This window comes from Homo sapiens, chromosome 20 (assembly GCF_000001405.40).
Source record: "Homo sapiens chromosome 20, GRCh38.p14 Primary Assembly".
Lineage (NCBI taxonomy): Eukaryota > Metazoa > Chordata > Mammalia > Primates > Hominidae > Homo > Homo sapiens.
The window spans coordinates 57,539,173-57,554,941 of NC_000020.11; the positions used below are offsets into that span (position 1 = coordinate 57,539,173).

The 15,769-nt window shown below is 46.0% G+C and overlaps 1 long non-coding RNA gene across 1 annotated transcript; it reads left to right on the forward strand.

The window, feature by feature from the left end:
• Positions 1–7,064: 7,064 nt before the first annotated feature.
• On the forward strand, positions 7,065–9,725 carry LOC124904941 (uncharacterized). The gene is made up of 2 exons (XR_007067674.1): positions 7,065–7,666; positions 8,983–9,725. It is a non-coding gene; the product is annotated as an uncharacterized LOC124904941 (long non-coding RNA).
• Positions 9,726–15,769: the final 6,044 nt, after the last annotated feature.

The window sequence follows — 15,769 nt, forward strand, 5'->3', positions numbered from 1 at the left end:
GACATCCGCCCTAACACACACACATTCACAGATGGAGAAACACACACACTGAGACACACACACACACACACACACACACACACACACTGACACACGTTTCCTCCCCATGCTGTTTTTTCACTTGCCCCTCTCTTTATCTGAATCTAATCCAAGCATCCTGCATGATCCCTTCAAATCTCCCTTCCCCTGTATCTCCCTGGGTCCCACTGGCCACTTCTGAGCCCCTTCTCCTCTCTCCTCCCTGTGTTCAGAGCCTTGATGAGATTGGGGAAGAGACAGAGGCCAGCTCCCATAGAGCTGTGTAGACAGACCCTGGTAAGGAGTTTGACTCTATTTATGTTCCCCAGGAAGCCATTGGAGGGTTTAAGCCAGGGAATGACAAGAAGCCATAAACCATTTATATATTTTTTATTTATTTATTTTTTGAGACAGAGTCTTAAACTGTCACCCAGGCTGGAGTGCAGTGGCACAAGCTCAGCTCACTGCAGCCTCCACCTCCCTGGTTCAAGCGATTCTCCTGGCTCAGCCCCCGAGTAGCTGGGATTACAGGTGCACACCACCACGCCTGGCTAATTTTTGTATTTTTAGTAGAGACAGGGTTTCACCATGTTGGCCAGGCTGGTCTCGCACTCCTGACCTCAAGGGATCCACCTGCCTCGGCCTCCCAAAGTGCTGGAATTACAGTAGTGAGCCATTGTGACTGACTGAAACCATTTATATTTTAGAACATTCTTTTCTTGTTCTTTCTTGTCTTGTCTCCAGAGTACCTAGGATGGTGCTTTGACTGCATCATTATCGTTGTGATCTTTGCAGCTGGAACGTCTATGGTGTCTTCATGTCGGGGCAGGACAGACATCGATCGAGGTGTCCTTGTGCTGAGGGTGTTGCTAGCATGTGCTTTACTCAGTGAGCAGCAGTGACTCAGCACAGGGCAGGCCGGCCGCCGTCTGCGTCAGGAGGCTGTAACTATTTTCTTACAGCTATAAAGGTCACAAACATGACCGAGCTGATCCCCATCTCGAGGCCTGACTGACACAAACATTGTTATGACTGAAACATTTTTCTTATCAGGTTATTCTTAACGGAGATGCCCACTTGGGACCTGTTTAGTCTTTATTGTTTTAAATAGCCTGGGCTGAAGCATAAGGGAATTAGTCTTTGGTTTGGTGACCTTGAAAATTTGATCTAGAAGGAGGATGAGGTGCTGGCTCCTTCTCAGATAGCATCGTTTTACCCGTGCTCACCATGTCGGTCACGTGCACCAGCTCGCCAGTGGCTCCTTCGGCCTGGTGCCTCCTTCCCTTCCTGCGACACTGCTCCCTGAACTGCAGCCTCCCCAGCCTCAGCCTTCCCTGAGCTGCAGCCTCCCCAGCCTCAGCCTTCCTTATGAACACTCAGCTCTGGCCCACTTGAGGAGGAGATCTTCCCTGAGATGTAAACGTGGTCTGCTCCTTCTCATCCAAACTGCACAAAGTAACTGCTTTCTAAAATACTCCTCTTCCCCAGACACGATTTCTATCACAATCCCATGTTCTAGATCTTTCCTATCTGCTTTCTTGTTGATGTGTTTGCCTGTCAGTTGTTTGTTCCCCCTTAGCATGCAGACCCCAGGAAAGCAGGGCCCTGTCTGTCTTGCTCTCCATTTTCCTACAGAGCTTTGAGCAGTGTCTGGAACTCATCTACTGCAAGGATGTAGAAAGTCCAAATGCCACACACACGTCTGAGTCTTGAGTTCCTACTGTGACCTGGAGCCGGGGCACTGCTGGTGTTTCTGACCTTGACAACCACAGACACAGCACACATAACTCCCTAACCTCAGTCTCCTCAGTCATCATCCCCATGCGAGCGTTTGGCTCGCGTGGACTCCATGGCACTGGGCATTCCAGGACCTCATGCACAGGCACGAGGCGGAGGGCTCTGGGCTCCGTGGTTAATGTGTACCAACGTACTTTTTATCTATAGCTGGCTTTGCCACCCTAGGCCTGCTTTCTTCCCAAGACTTTCCCCTGGCCTCTTTCCAGCAATCTGTCCGGGAGTTATAGACTAAGCTACCCTTCGGCAATTAGACTGGACTTCAGTCGTTTTTGAAAGATGAATTTAGAGGTAATTTTCTAATTACTAGCAGTTGTCAAATAAACTGAGACGGAAGACTGCTGAGTCTTTGCCTGGGCAGAAATGAGCCCTGGCTACAGCAGGAGCTGGTCCTGTGCCTTGGTGATGAATGCAGGGAGACAAGCAGCTTAGAAACCAATTAACTTTCTGCTTCTTTTGCTAATGTGGGGACAGTGAGGGGAAGAGTTTGGCTGCTTGAGAATGGAGTTCAAACAGGGCCAGCTGTGGAAGTTAAGCTAGCAGAACTGATGAAAGGAACACGCTTCAAGGACGTCTGCGTTCTTAGCAATATCAAAATGTTCATCTTCATTTGATGGAACACTTCTGAGTCTGAATTGTCAGTACAAACGTTAAAGATGTAATAGCTATTGACGCCTATTCTAGATAATAATGCCTAAAGATATCACTGGGACATTTTTTCATGGGAACTTTCAACTGTAAGTGAAAGTTTTCCTTTCAGTTGCTATCTGCAAAAATGTCAAACTTATACACAGTAATATTTATAAGGTGGCTTTTGTGTTTTCTTCTGCAATTGTGTGACATTTTGCTTGGTTAAGTGTTGCATCTTGTCATGGTTTGATGTCACGTGGCAACCAATGTCACAGAAGGCCTGGGGGTCACCTGGGAGCTGTTGCTTGGGCTTGGGGTCTGGTTTGCAGACTTGGAGGCCAGGAACCTGGTGCTGTCAGGACCCTATGGCAGAGCCAGACAGACTCAGAAGCACTAGTGTATCAATCAGGGGGCCAATGTCTTAGTTCACATCAAAAGCACCACTTTTCTGGGGAGACAGACCCCAAATCTGCCACCCAAGTTGCCCCACTCCTTGCAGCTACTGTTAGAGACAGTCATGACAGGTTAGAGACAGCCATGCTGGGGTGGAAAGGTAGAGCTGGTATAGAAGACTTGTCCCAGTTCCGCTAATGACCTTGGAGAAGCCTCAACCTTCCTGAGCCTCAGTTTCCTCATGTGTAAAATGGTGATCCAGTACTCCTATGACAGGACTTGTTGGAAAGCTAAAAGGAGAACACATATGTAAACTGCTGGGTCCAGGAGTAAGCACTGAATCATTTAATTGGGACAGGCAGATGCAGAGTACAGACTGGAGCCAGTGTGTGGATTCCTGATCCAATCGCATGGCCTGAAATAAACTCCTGTATATTTCTAAGATTTGGGATCTACAAACTAAATTGGGATCAGAATGTTATCTACTTCATAGGCTCGTCGCTGTTGTTGTATCAAATAAGATACTCTATAGAAAGCACATAGCATGATGATCATGGTACCCAGACACAGTAAGGGCTCAAATGAATGGGAGCTCTCATTGTTATTGGGAAGATTAATAGTTCTGATGGTAGAATAGTAGCAGCTGTTGTGGCACCACCAGCAACAAATACAAGCAGCCAGGAGGTGCAGGTCATTCGGCGACTATAAAATCGGAACAGAGGTGAACTGTGTAGAAGGCTTCTCAGCCCTGGCACTACTGATGTTTGGGGCTAGACAGATTGCTCTCATGCACTGTAGGGTGTTTAGAAGCATCTCTGGCCTCTACTCGCTAGGTGCCAATAGCACCACCCAGTTGTGACAACCAAAGACGTCTCTGGACACTGCCATTGTCTCTGGGCTGGGGGCAGAATCATCCCAGCTGAGAATGTCTAGGGGAATATGTCACCGAGATGACGGGGAAGCCTGTGGTCCTCCAAAACTTGCCCCGGTGCCTGCACCTGCACACACTCCTACCTGCCCAATGCTTTGCTTCAGTTCTCTTTCCTAGATTTAGTCCATTAGATGACAAAGACTGAGTGGCCACTATGAACAAGCACCTGGGCATAATCTGTGGGAGAACAAAGTTTGGCCTCTGCCCTCCAGGACACCCCACAGACCTTTTCCCTTCACCCCCTTCTTTAGCACTGCCCTTCCTTATGTGAGGCACAATGCTGTTGACTAGATCACAACTGTCTGAACGACACTGCTGTCTGTGGGAAGCCACCACTCAGCCCTTCTCTGAAGGCAGAACTTCTCTGCAGTGTATTATTTAATACTTCTTCCAAGAGCGTGCCTTTTTCCTTGTGCAAATGCTCACGATATTTATTAGCATGAAAACCTTGGGGGAACGCATTAACCAACCTGGACCTCAAGTTCCTATGCAAAATGGGGATAATGACACGCTCCCTTCAGCAGCGCTTGCAAGTGGATTCATTGAGATTCTGTAGGCTCCTACCCCTGTTCTCTCCTTTCCGATGATAACTTTATTCTAAATTGCAGAGGCACCTCACCATGCGTGGCCTCTTGGTATTTACCGTAAGAGTTTTTAAGGACGGAAGTTAATGTAATGTGTCTAAACTTAAGTTTTTTGAGGATCCTGTTCTCCCTATGCCTGTATTTATCTACATTACTATCCAATTGAAAATGTTAACTTCTTTACCAATATAACTGAGTGGTTTGCAGATCTCTGTATCATGACCAGAATAGCCCATCCCCTTGTAATTTGGACTAATGTCTGAGAAGGCCTGCATGAGTAAAAGTTCAAATTATTTTCCAGTTAAAAAAGAGATATTGTATGACTTTCAAACCCAGCAAGAATGGGGCTAGGAAACTATGACAAAAAAAAATCTTTAGGGAAACAGTAAGTAAACAGATGAGAATGATTCAGAACTCTGTTTTGTAAGCTCTGTATTGATGACTCTCTTTATGGCCATATACAATACCCACTGAGAAATGCTCATTTATAACTCCCGCCATGCTTACCATGTTTAAAAACAACTTATTGTTTTAAGTAGCTTCAACAGTCACCCGAAATCCTATTGACACTGTTAATTTGCTTAGCAAAGACTTTCTTTAAGATCTTAAAAGGTAAACTTTCACCCAGCCTCTGTCAGAATCACTATGGATTAGAGTTATCCAGAATTAAGAAGGTTTAGTTAGCTCACTTCCATTCTATTGAACTTACTCAAAATGTCAGAACATTCTACATTTCTGACATATACAATGTTCATATGATGACAGTTTTTATAGATGCCTCACATCATTTAATTCCAGGCACCCCATTTTAATTGTGTCCTGTTTTATCTGTTGATTTTTTAATTGGCAAATAAGTAATTTTAAAAGGAAATTTTAATTCATTTTCACATACGCTGGCTCTACTGGAGAGCTCATAGGGCCAGACAGCAACAGACCCCGCCAGATTTGAATTTTTATCTAAATTCTCAATCTGAACCTCACGCTTATAAATAAATGTGACTGCTGGAAAGAGTTTGAGTGTTGGAGTCAAGAGACCAGGCTCTAGTTCTTGGGCAAGTCTCCTAACCTCCTAGGGCCTCAGTTTCCTTGTCTAAATAGTAGGCAGTTCAATGGGGAGATTCTCGGCTGCCTTTCCAGCTCTTAGTACCCTGTGATTCCAAGATTCTCTTCTGGTCATTTTTCTTCCCAGCATCTATCCAGAAAACCCCACTCTGACATCTACTTTCCAGTATTTACATGAAAAGAACTTATTTTGTTCTATAACTTGGGATGTTTACTGTATTGGGATTTCTTTGAGTGGGACATCCTTAATGCAGGACGTTCCTAATTATTCTTAAACTGTCCTGTACGATCCTAAAAGTACCCTGAAACTCCGTGTATGGACTGCCTGAATTGTGAACATTAACCCACATTTATATAATCGCTTGGTTATGCAATCAGGCAATGAAGTTTAGGTTAAAAAGAGGAGTGCCTTGACTTTTGTCTTGGGTCCAGGATCCGCCCTTGGGACCCATTTATCACCTCATTTCCCTTCTTAACTCCTGTTTATCTCTCCGGTTCCTATTCAAAGGAACAGGAAAACACGCAGTACAGCACTCCATTTGATTACATTGATAGCTCTGAGTGAAAAACAAGGCTGTCCACTTGGAGCTGCGATAAGTCTTTTTTTCTGTGCTATGAGGACACTAGGTGTGAACAGATACTGACATCGAAAAGTAGAGGGTTGAGGAGGGGGGTAAGGAGGAAGGAAAGAATGGCAAAGGAGTTATGTTGCAGTCAGTAAAGGTTAGAAATGAATCACAAGATCGGGGTAGGAAACCAAGTAATAAAATAAGTGCATAATAGTGGGTTGCCAGGCAGACAGTGGGCTAATACCGAAGTGACAATGGCAGTGCAGCAGGGAGGCTGAGCAACAGAAAGGAGTGGGCGAGATGGAAAAATAAAGAGAGAATAATAAAAGCCAACACAGAGGGGGAGAGCAGAGGAGTCTGTCACTTTGTCTTAGGAGAAATTAAGAAGCCAGACAAATTATAAGTGTACTTTCATTTGGAAACATGATCAGACAGTCTGAGATGGGTGCTCCTGGATGAGGTGATCATGGCTTGTAGGGACCTGTGAGTGGCTCGCTCTGACCTGGCATGGGAAGGGCCAGGACTTGCCAACGTTTGCAGGTGGCAATGAAGTGCAAGACTGAGGGAATGCAAGGGGGCTTATTGGATCTCTTTGATTCTTCTGTTCAGAAAGAAAAGAGTGGAAGAAGATGGCTAACATTCTTAAGGGCCCAGGGCCAATGTGGGTGTTCCCATTGAATTCTCACCAGGGCCCTATGCAATAGGTGCTGGTTTTATCCTTCTAGTTCAGATGAGAAAACTGAGGCCAGGAGCTTGTTCAAGATCACATGAGCAGCAAGGACTCTTGTTTCTGACCTCTCTGCCACCTGCCTGCCCAGGCTGCCTGCTGAAGCCACTGCATCACCGTGAATGTGCATCTCCCACAAGGGCTGGTGTGTGGTTTACAGCCACAGGGAGGCGTTTTCAGGGCCCATCTGGGGTTGGAAGACATTGCTTTCCTTTGTCCTGACACCAAAAAGGAAACCGGCGTGGCCACTCTGAACATTTTGTCTTCTTTGGCATTTGGTTGCCTTTTTTCCCTCCTCCATTGGCAATGGATCTATCAGGTTCTCAGTTAAAATGCCGCATTGCCCAAGCACAAATGTGACCCTCGGTGTGTCGTGGGAACACATTGCACAGAGAACTCCACCACACTCAAACGCTGACAGTGCCTTGCCAGCCCTGGTGGACTTGAAGTTTCGATGAGCTTTAAGTTCGTGGAGCAGCTTAGCTCTGGGATTGTGGTAAGAGTGGGATCTAGAGAGATGGGAGTTCCTCCTGCAAATGTGCTCTTGAGCCTATTTTGAGGTCACTAACCATGCTCAGCCACAGTGGCCTCTGCAGGTTGAGGAGGGATTCGCTGTCCTTCCAGAAGCTTCTCTCTAGTTTCAAATGTCATACCCAGATGAAGAAAGGAATGCTTCCTTTGAAATTGATGCCATCCTCAGAGCCACCACACTGAGTGCGGGCCTCTTGCACCCCCATGCAGAGTCCTGCTTTGCTCTTCCTGTATTCCCTGCTGCAAGACCTCAGGGAATGCCCATGGACTGGGCACTTCCTGAGCAGGTTTTCACTAAAAGAAACACTCAGCAAAACAAAGAAAGTTCGTAGAGTACCGTCCAGGCCTAGCTAATGTTTCATAAGGACAATAGAAGGCATCATTTGTTTTCAGAGCATAATTTTATTATATCTTAATGCAAGAAAAGGTAAGATAAATTTCCTATTATTTTAAAATAACCGTGTCATTGTTATAATACCATACTATGATAATAACCATTTTACTGAAAATGATGAATATGTAATTGCCTTTCTTATATATTAGCATGTTATGATTTACTACCACAAATGTTGTTTTTCTTTTCTTAATTAATTTTTATACTTTCAGTATTGAAAAACTTTTCAGCATCTTCTAAATTGGCTCATTCAGGCTTGCACTGTAGACCTTTTGCAACAAGCCTATAGTTCTGCCATCGTCTCTCTTTTCACATGGTAAATTGCCCTGAAAGGTTTAATGAATAAATGAATACATTAATTAACAATGCCCAGAAAAGGGTCTCATTAAAGCAGTGTGTGTTTGGGATGCTTGGCTGGCATTTGGTGGATGGGGGCTGACTATCTTATGATGAAAGATGAACTTAAGCCCCCTGAACTCTCTCCTATGACTCACAAGAGTTTTTACTGGCATGGTTATGTAAACGAGCAGAGCATGAGGGAAATTATTGTTTAATTTCAAAAACATAACTGAATCACGAATACAAAGTGTGCTCTTGCTTCATGCTTTGATGTCTAAGGTGACTCACCGCATGGTACTGCACTTGAAAGGAGATGGAGCTTGGAGCAGGTTTGCCTGCCCGAGGGAGGTCATCCCATGTGCCAGGAGGATGCAAAGTACCTCTTGTGGGCAGGGTTCACCTTCAGTGCCCTCCTCCGAGACTAAAGGTGCAGAGACACCCCGCAGGGCAGGACTGTGACATGGCCTGTCCAGCATTCTGCACTACGTGAAGAATTTGCTACCCACCACATACCTGTAGCACTCCCCTAACTCTGTGGCAACCCCCCAGACTCCCGCATATTTCCAAAGGCAGCCCCTTGCCAGGTGGTGATGAGGGTTCTGCCTCAGGTTGAGAACATGTTGAGATGAGGGTTCTGCCTCAGGTTGAGAACATGTTGAGAAAGTAAGGTTCTGCCAAGTTCTAAAGATGCCATGTGCACAGGCTTCGAAGTGCCCATTTGTCTCTCTTGGATTAACTTGTAATCAATCTAATTTAGTGCTGTTTTTAAATCTAGCAAGACACATTTGTTTATTTTATTTTGTTTTCTAAATAAAGAATAATTGCAGAAAGAGGCTTGGGATGTCTCAGGAAAATAGAGAGGTAAAGTGCTCCATGCAAATAAAACCCAGAACCTTCTCAATGATGTGTTTAGAGGCTGAAACAAGGTAGAGTAGTGCACAGAGGCGGAGCCTTGGCCAAGGTCTCCCGAGTGCATCGGGGAGACGCTCACGTCTACATGATCTTTCCAGGTGCCAGACTTACTGACCTCCAGCTTTTCACATCCTGGGAGGAGATTGCTCTCAAAGGTACACTCATCTTAACCAAACTCAAGACAGCGATGTCTAGGACAAGAAAGCTGACATGCTGATCTGTGCTCAAACCAGAGTTGAGCTGGCTCCAAGAGCGTCTGGTCTCCAGGATCTGCACGGCCTTTGGAAACCAAAGCTCAATCCCAGGGGCTCAGGGCCAGAGAATCAAGCAAACATGCTGGTTACAGAAACTGAAATTATTCACTCATTCGACAAATATTAGTCAGCACCTACTCTGGTCTAGCGACTGTTTTCAGAGCTGTGACCAAGACAGACAACGTCTTTGTCGAGCATGGAGATTATGTTCTAGTTAGTCGTAGATTCTGGGATTGAACCCCTAGACAAGTGAAGAAGGCAACGTCAAATAGTAACTGTCAGAAAGGAAACATAACAGGGGCATGTGTTGCAGGAGCTGGGAAAGGCTGAGACTCGGATGACACGAAGGCCCGTCCATGTGCAGGCCAGGAAGGGTGCTCCATGCAGAAGCACAGCAGGTGCAAAGGCCCTGAACTGGGGATGAGGGTGGCTCGAGGATGCGATCAAGTTCAACTCACAAAGGGGAAGCCGATTGTGAAGTTCAGAGGAGATCCTTCTAGCTTCCAAGGCTGGACCACGGTCTGAGACAGAGGCGAGAATCAGCAGACGGAACAGGTCAATAAAGCAATGCACTGGAATGTTCAGGATTCCTCTGGTTGTTCTATGTGATTTCCCATGGCTGTCTCACCCCTCAAAGCTGTTGGCAAGGTGCCCGGCCTGCGAACTGCACTCAGATACATGTTAACAAATGGTCACGGCACTGCAGAAAGAAGAATGGAGTGGAGTGGACAGTCCTGCAGTGGCTAAATGCTTTTGTTAGAGTGCAAGCGTCTGTAGCCACAGATGATCAGCTTTCTCCCATCACCAAGATGGCCCGTGCAGGCCCTGGCTTCCCGGGGAGAGTTAGATTTCATCTCTGACTTAGACTTTTTTTTGTTAAGGAAAAACACATGTCACATAAAACTTTTTTTTGACATGACAATACCTGGAATAATTAGATACATAAAGAACAATGAGGGAGCTGCGCTTTCCTGAGTGTATTTTGAGCAGTTATTACCCACCATCAGTGCCTTTCAAATGTCACTTGTGGAGTGTTCGTCTGTTTGTCGTGAAGCACAAAACTTTTTCTCTATTCTTTCCCAAAGTAGTTGAGAGCATTTTAAATCTCTGTGTTGAACTATGGCAAGTCACTCCAAAATTAAAGTGCTCAAAACCTTTATTTTGAAAAGCCCGAACAGTGCCCATCAAAGCAGCACAGGGAACACTGTCTTTTCAGTACTCACCCAGCACATTCCTCTGGAAATGTCAGATATGCTCTCATTTAAATAATTTGACAGCTCACAAGAAGCCATCTGATGAGTATTGCATTCAATTGTTAAAAGTACAACAAAAAAAGTCAAGAAGTTTTTCTTCCAAAGAATTTATCATTAATAATTCACACAAGCTACTTTTTATGTGGTCGCCTACTGAATGCAATTATTTAATTTCTCTCTCTCTCTCCCTCTCCTTCTCTTTCTCTGCAAGTGGAGGCTGTGAAGACCCATTTTAATATAAAGGACACTCGGGAGTTTCACCTGAAATGAAAAAACAATGCATTAAGGCTGCTTAAGTAGGTTTCGCACATTCAATATGCTTGCAGGAATGTCTAAACACAGAAGTGTTTGACACGTATAGAAAAATACATGTATTTTTAAGACATACTTGACTCAAAGCACCTGAACATTTTATTTACCACCATAAGGCAGTGCATTGAATCCAGACCGGCCTGTTTTGTGGCTGCACACATTCCGTTTGGTTAAAGAAGCATTCAATGTACAGGGGTGGTTGTGCACCTCCTTAAACTTGTGTCCTGGACATTGAATTTGGCCGAATAGAAACGAACATGAGCCCCTGAAAGATGAGTTCATGGCCTGGGGATACAAATGCTGAGCTTTTTGTGGTTTGCAGTGTCTCAGGTTGAATGGATGTTGCAGGTCTAGGGGATGGATACTCAGGGACACAAGGGTGTCAGGGACCCCCTTACAGCTGTTCCCGCGCCTGTCATTCATTTAGCTCTTTAGCCTCTACTACGTCTTCCTCTTTTACTACTTTCCATCTTTGGGTTAAAATGCGGAGAGATGACTTGAATGAGTAGCACACTCTCACACTCGGGCCAGCCCTCCACATCATGAGTGGGCTTCAGCCACCCCAGGCTTCTGGGGAATGAGGTGGGGTACGGGAAGCAATTAAGAAATTGCTAGGCCAGGCGCGGTGGCTCACGCCTATAATCCCAGCACTTTGGGAGGCCGAGGCTGGTGAATCATGAGGTCAGGAGATCGAGACCATCCCGGCTAACACGGTGAAACCCCGTCTCTACTAAAAAATACAAAAAATTAGCTGGGCGTGGTGGTGGGCGCCTGTAGTCCCAGCTACTTGGGAGGCTGAGGCAGGAGAATGGCGTGAACCCAGGAGGTGGAGCTTGCAGTGAGCCCAGATTGCGCCACTGCACTCCAGCCTGGGTGACAGAGCGAGACTCTGTCTCAAAAAAAAAAAAAAAAAAAAAAAAAGAAATTGCTTTGCTGACACAGCCCCCTTGTACAGAGCACCTTGTCTTTGAGGGAACAGCTGTCCTCTGTTGGGGAAAATCGGGCCCAGCCAGCCTGACTTGCTCTGCACATTTGGGATGTGGCCGGAGCCTCAGAATCCACTTGGGAGGGTGTGTACCGGCTGCCGTGTTTCCTTTCGGCAGGCTTAAATTCATTTCTTCAAGTGTTCCCGTTAGTTAACAATGATTGATAGAGTGAAGATATTATTAATAAAAATTAGGTACCCAGCTAGGCAATGGACTTTTGTTCATGCCTCAGCACTCATCAAAGGGCAAATGAAAAAGGTGTTTTCAGCAGCATGCGATTGGAATGAGTCGGGCCAGGTGGAAAACGAATCTGGCCATTCATCAGAGCTGTCAGGACGGGTCTCTCACCAGAAGTGTTTACCAGTGTTCACCATGAGCTTCCGAGTTCTGCTAACGGGAGCTTCGACTGTAACTCAGAGGACTTGGAAAACGACTTGGGTGACTTAGCGTACCTATGTTATTGAATTCGCCTAAGTGTTGCGACTCTTGATGCTGACACTTACGAGAATGCACAGTGGGACTTCCAGAAAATTTAACAGTGCAGTTCAGAAAAATGCCTCCGTGGGGGTGGGGGGCTTTGAGGAAGTCCAGGTGGCATGGGACTGGGGAGGGGAAGAAGCAAGGAGCACAGCGGCGTCGGGAGTGAAAAATGTGCCACTTATTCCACACACATAATAACATCAATCTGATTCAAAAAAATGAGAGACAAGGGGAGTCGACAGGAAAGCATACGGAAAAAGTTAAAGAAAAACCCAAGGTGCTATCACCGTGACTGTCTGTCTAGAGATGTATTGGGGAGTGGGTGTGTTTACTGTCCATACAACTCTTGTGGTTCTCAGTCATTCGTAGCATTGTGCAGCCCACGGGTGAGGAGCTGGTCTTCCTGGCTGGGCCTGGGCAGCAGACATTTGCTGAGCGCCTACTATGTGCCAGGTGTGGTTTGGGGCAATGAGAATGCTAAGAGGAGTGAGAACGCAGACTCCTAGAAGTTGGCGGCTCAGCTTGGACTGTCTTGTCCCCTCCATACTTAGCACTCCATAGGAGACAATTGTTAAATAAATAAAAAAATTTGCACCCAAAAAGAACTATGATTTTTATTTCCCCCTTCTAGAATTTAGGAGTGTCTGCTCAGATGTGCCTGGCACTATGTTAAGTGTGTTTATTTGGGTTCCCAAATCTAATCCTTGTAAGTAACTACCCTATAAAGCAGGTACCATAATTATCCTCATTTTGCAGTTGAGGAAACTGAGGAAGCATAGAGAGGGTATGCCTTGGCCTAGGGCTACACAGTCAAGATGTAAAAGGAAACACCTGCCTCCAGAACCCACACTGTTGGCCGCTACATGGCATTGCCTCCCCAAACCACCCCATGGGCCCTACAGATAAAAAATATTGAGCCAATCTGTACCTCTTCTAAAAAACGATTTTTTTTTAACATAGAGATGGGGTCTTGCTGTGTTGTCCAGGCTAGTCTTGAACTCCTGGACTCAAACGATCTTCCCACCTCAGCCTATCAAAATGTTGGCATTACAGGCATGAGCCACCACACTCGGCCCAATCCTTACTTCTGATGCTGTTACTGGCCAAGTGGGATCAACTGCTCAGTGAGGTTGATTAGACTGTATAGAAGTTAGTGTCCAAAAGCCCAGGGACCCCACTGCCTTCCAATTCATGAGCACTTGACTCTGGTACTTAAAGAGAGAGCTCCAAAGGCCTGGGAGCTGAGGCCAGCCCCTGCAACAGACAGCCATGTCCTCACCCTGCTGGCCCTGCCATGTCAGCTCCCGATAGGCAGCGAGGGATTTGGAAAGAGGCCTCTTGCATCATTGCTTCCTTGTGCCAAGCCAGGGAAAGAAAACTTGTATAACCTAGGCCGGCTTTTGGCAGAAAATTGGAAGGTGGAAAGCCATGGAAATGAAAGTTAAAGAATTACGGACCTTACCTTATACGAGAACGTGCAGGTGCCCCTGAACCCTGCTTCCCAGGTTCCTGTTTGAAACACCACCAACTTATTGAGAAGATGAGTCCTCCCTATCTGTGTTGGCTTGTGATTCTGTTATCCCATAGCAGATTTTTCATCTGCGTCACAATTTTGCTTTTTAAATATTGAAAACACCAAAATGTACATTTCTTTCCCCGTTACCATTGATCTTTCTAGGTTGCTTCTTCAAAGCAATGTAGGCTAGTTTTGGGAAGGACACTTGTCAACTGGCACCTTTTTTCATCAGACTCTGTGGTCATTTTTCAGACAAATCGTGTTTTCTGTGTGCAGGAGGATGGACTTTACTTCTGCACCAGGTTATACGAACAGCAGTCCTGAGGGTGCTCAATTTCCACTATATTTCAACTTGGAAACATTTCAGGTTTCTATAGCTAAGATAGAGGCCCGTGACCCTGACAAGACATGCTGAGGCCGGACCCCCACCCTGGGTGATGTGTCCAATCGCCCAAGCCTTGACACATGTGAATTCTGCCCTCCTTGGTAGAGGAGCTGACAGGGAGACTCAGATTTACTGAATTTTTGGAATTGTCCCCAGCGTGGATCAGAAAAGACATTTTTGTTCCGCGCTGCACTATTACAGGCAAGGGGAACAATTTGCATAGTTACCAGGGAGCTCCGGGGAAGGGTAGCGTTCAGTTCTCAAGCAATTATCTTTATTTCCAATAGAGTTAACTGCACTGCAAAGTGGATCCATTTTCTCACTGCAAAATAAGCGCATTGGATTGTTTTTGTGGTAACTATGCAATTAGTTCTTCCTGCTCATGCCTTGCCTGGTGCTGCTGTCTTTTCTCCGTGAGTGTGTTTGAAATAGTATTCAGTGGCAAATTTGTTCTCACTCAGAGAATGGACTTGCTTACTCTGTAATACTTGAAATCAAGGGCACTGTGGATCCCCAGGGCCATGTCCGTTTTAGGGAGGAGGAAACTGAAACCAAAGCCTAGTGAGCTGCCCAAAGGACACCTCGTTCCCAGCAATGTCATGATGGAGCCATCTGTTTGTGTGCCAGATCTTCCGTCGGTCCTTCTGGAGTCTAACACAGATGGTGCACACATTTTAAAAGACTACATGTAGCCACCTAGTGCCCTCAACTCTAAAAGTCATAAGCAAACAAAGGTTGGGAAAAAATAGGAATGGGGAAAGATTTTAATAAAAATCTGGATATGCTCTATGACATGCAAACTGAAGGAGAGAACTAAGGCAGGCCTATAAAAAATGGGGGCAAGCCTGAGTTTTACACTGCATTTCGTCTTATCCTCCTTAGTCATCCTTTTCCACCTAAGGTAGCTGTGGACTTAAATTACCCGCCAGCTTTCTTCAGTAGCCCATTTTCATATGCGCATGCTGCATAGGAGCAAAGACCTCCTGAGCTTCCAACAAGAAGGGCTGCTTAGCAGACACAGGGCCACCAGTCATCCAGCGTAGGTGAGAGGGGAGTAAGGCAGACATCAAACCCACCATGGGCTTCAGGATCTGTGGCAGGGAATGCGTACAGTGTGATAAAGGGACAGGACTTCCCCAGTGGCAATGACCTTAGAGCGTATCTCATCCAAGTCTGCACTGCCCAAGTGAGGAGAATGAGGCCTGGGCAGGTTTCTGGGGGAGGTGGGACTGGAACCAACCCAGGTCTCCTGAGTCTTGTTCCGTGTAAACTGACTATGGGATCTTGTCTTCATTAGGATGCTTTTAGCTGCAAACAACAAGGTCACCCAACTCCACGCAGCTTAAACGACAAGGGATGCTTCTATCTCACATTCTAAGAAGTCCCCAGAAGACTAGTGCCAGACACAGGAGAGTAGCTCTAGAATCTGCTTGTCCTGTTTCTGAGGGTGATTCTCCTATTATTGCCCTGGGCTGCAGCCTTCATGTAAGTGAATGGTCAGCATCACAGGGGGGTGACATCGCTCTCTGAAGGGCGAGATCCTTCCTGGGATGGAGGTGGCGTGCAATGTTGGGCTGTGGCACGTGCATGGTTTCTCATGGCTGGGGCGCCATTAGGCCTCCCCATAAACCTGACAGAGAAAGCTCCAAAGAAAATACGCCAGCTTTTACAGTCACTTTGCTGTGGGTCAGTGGTGATT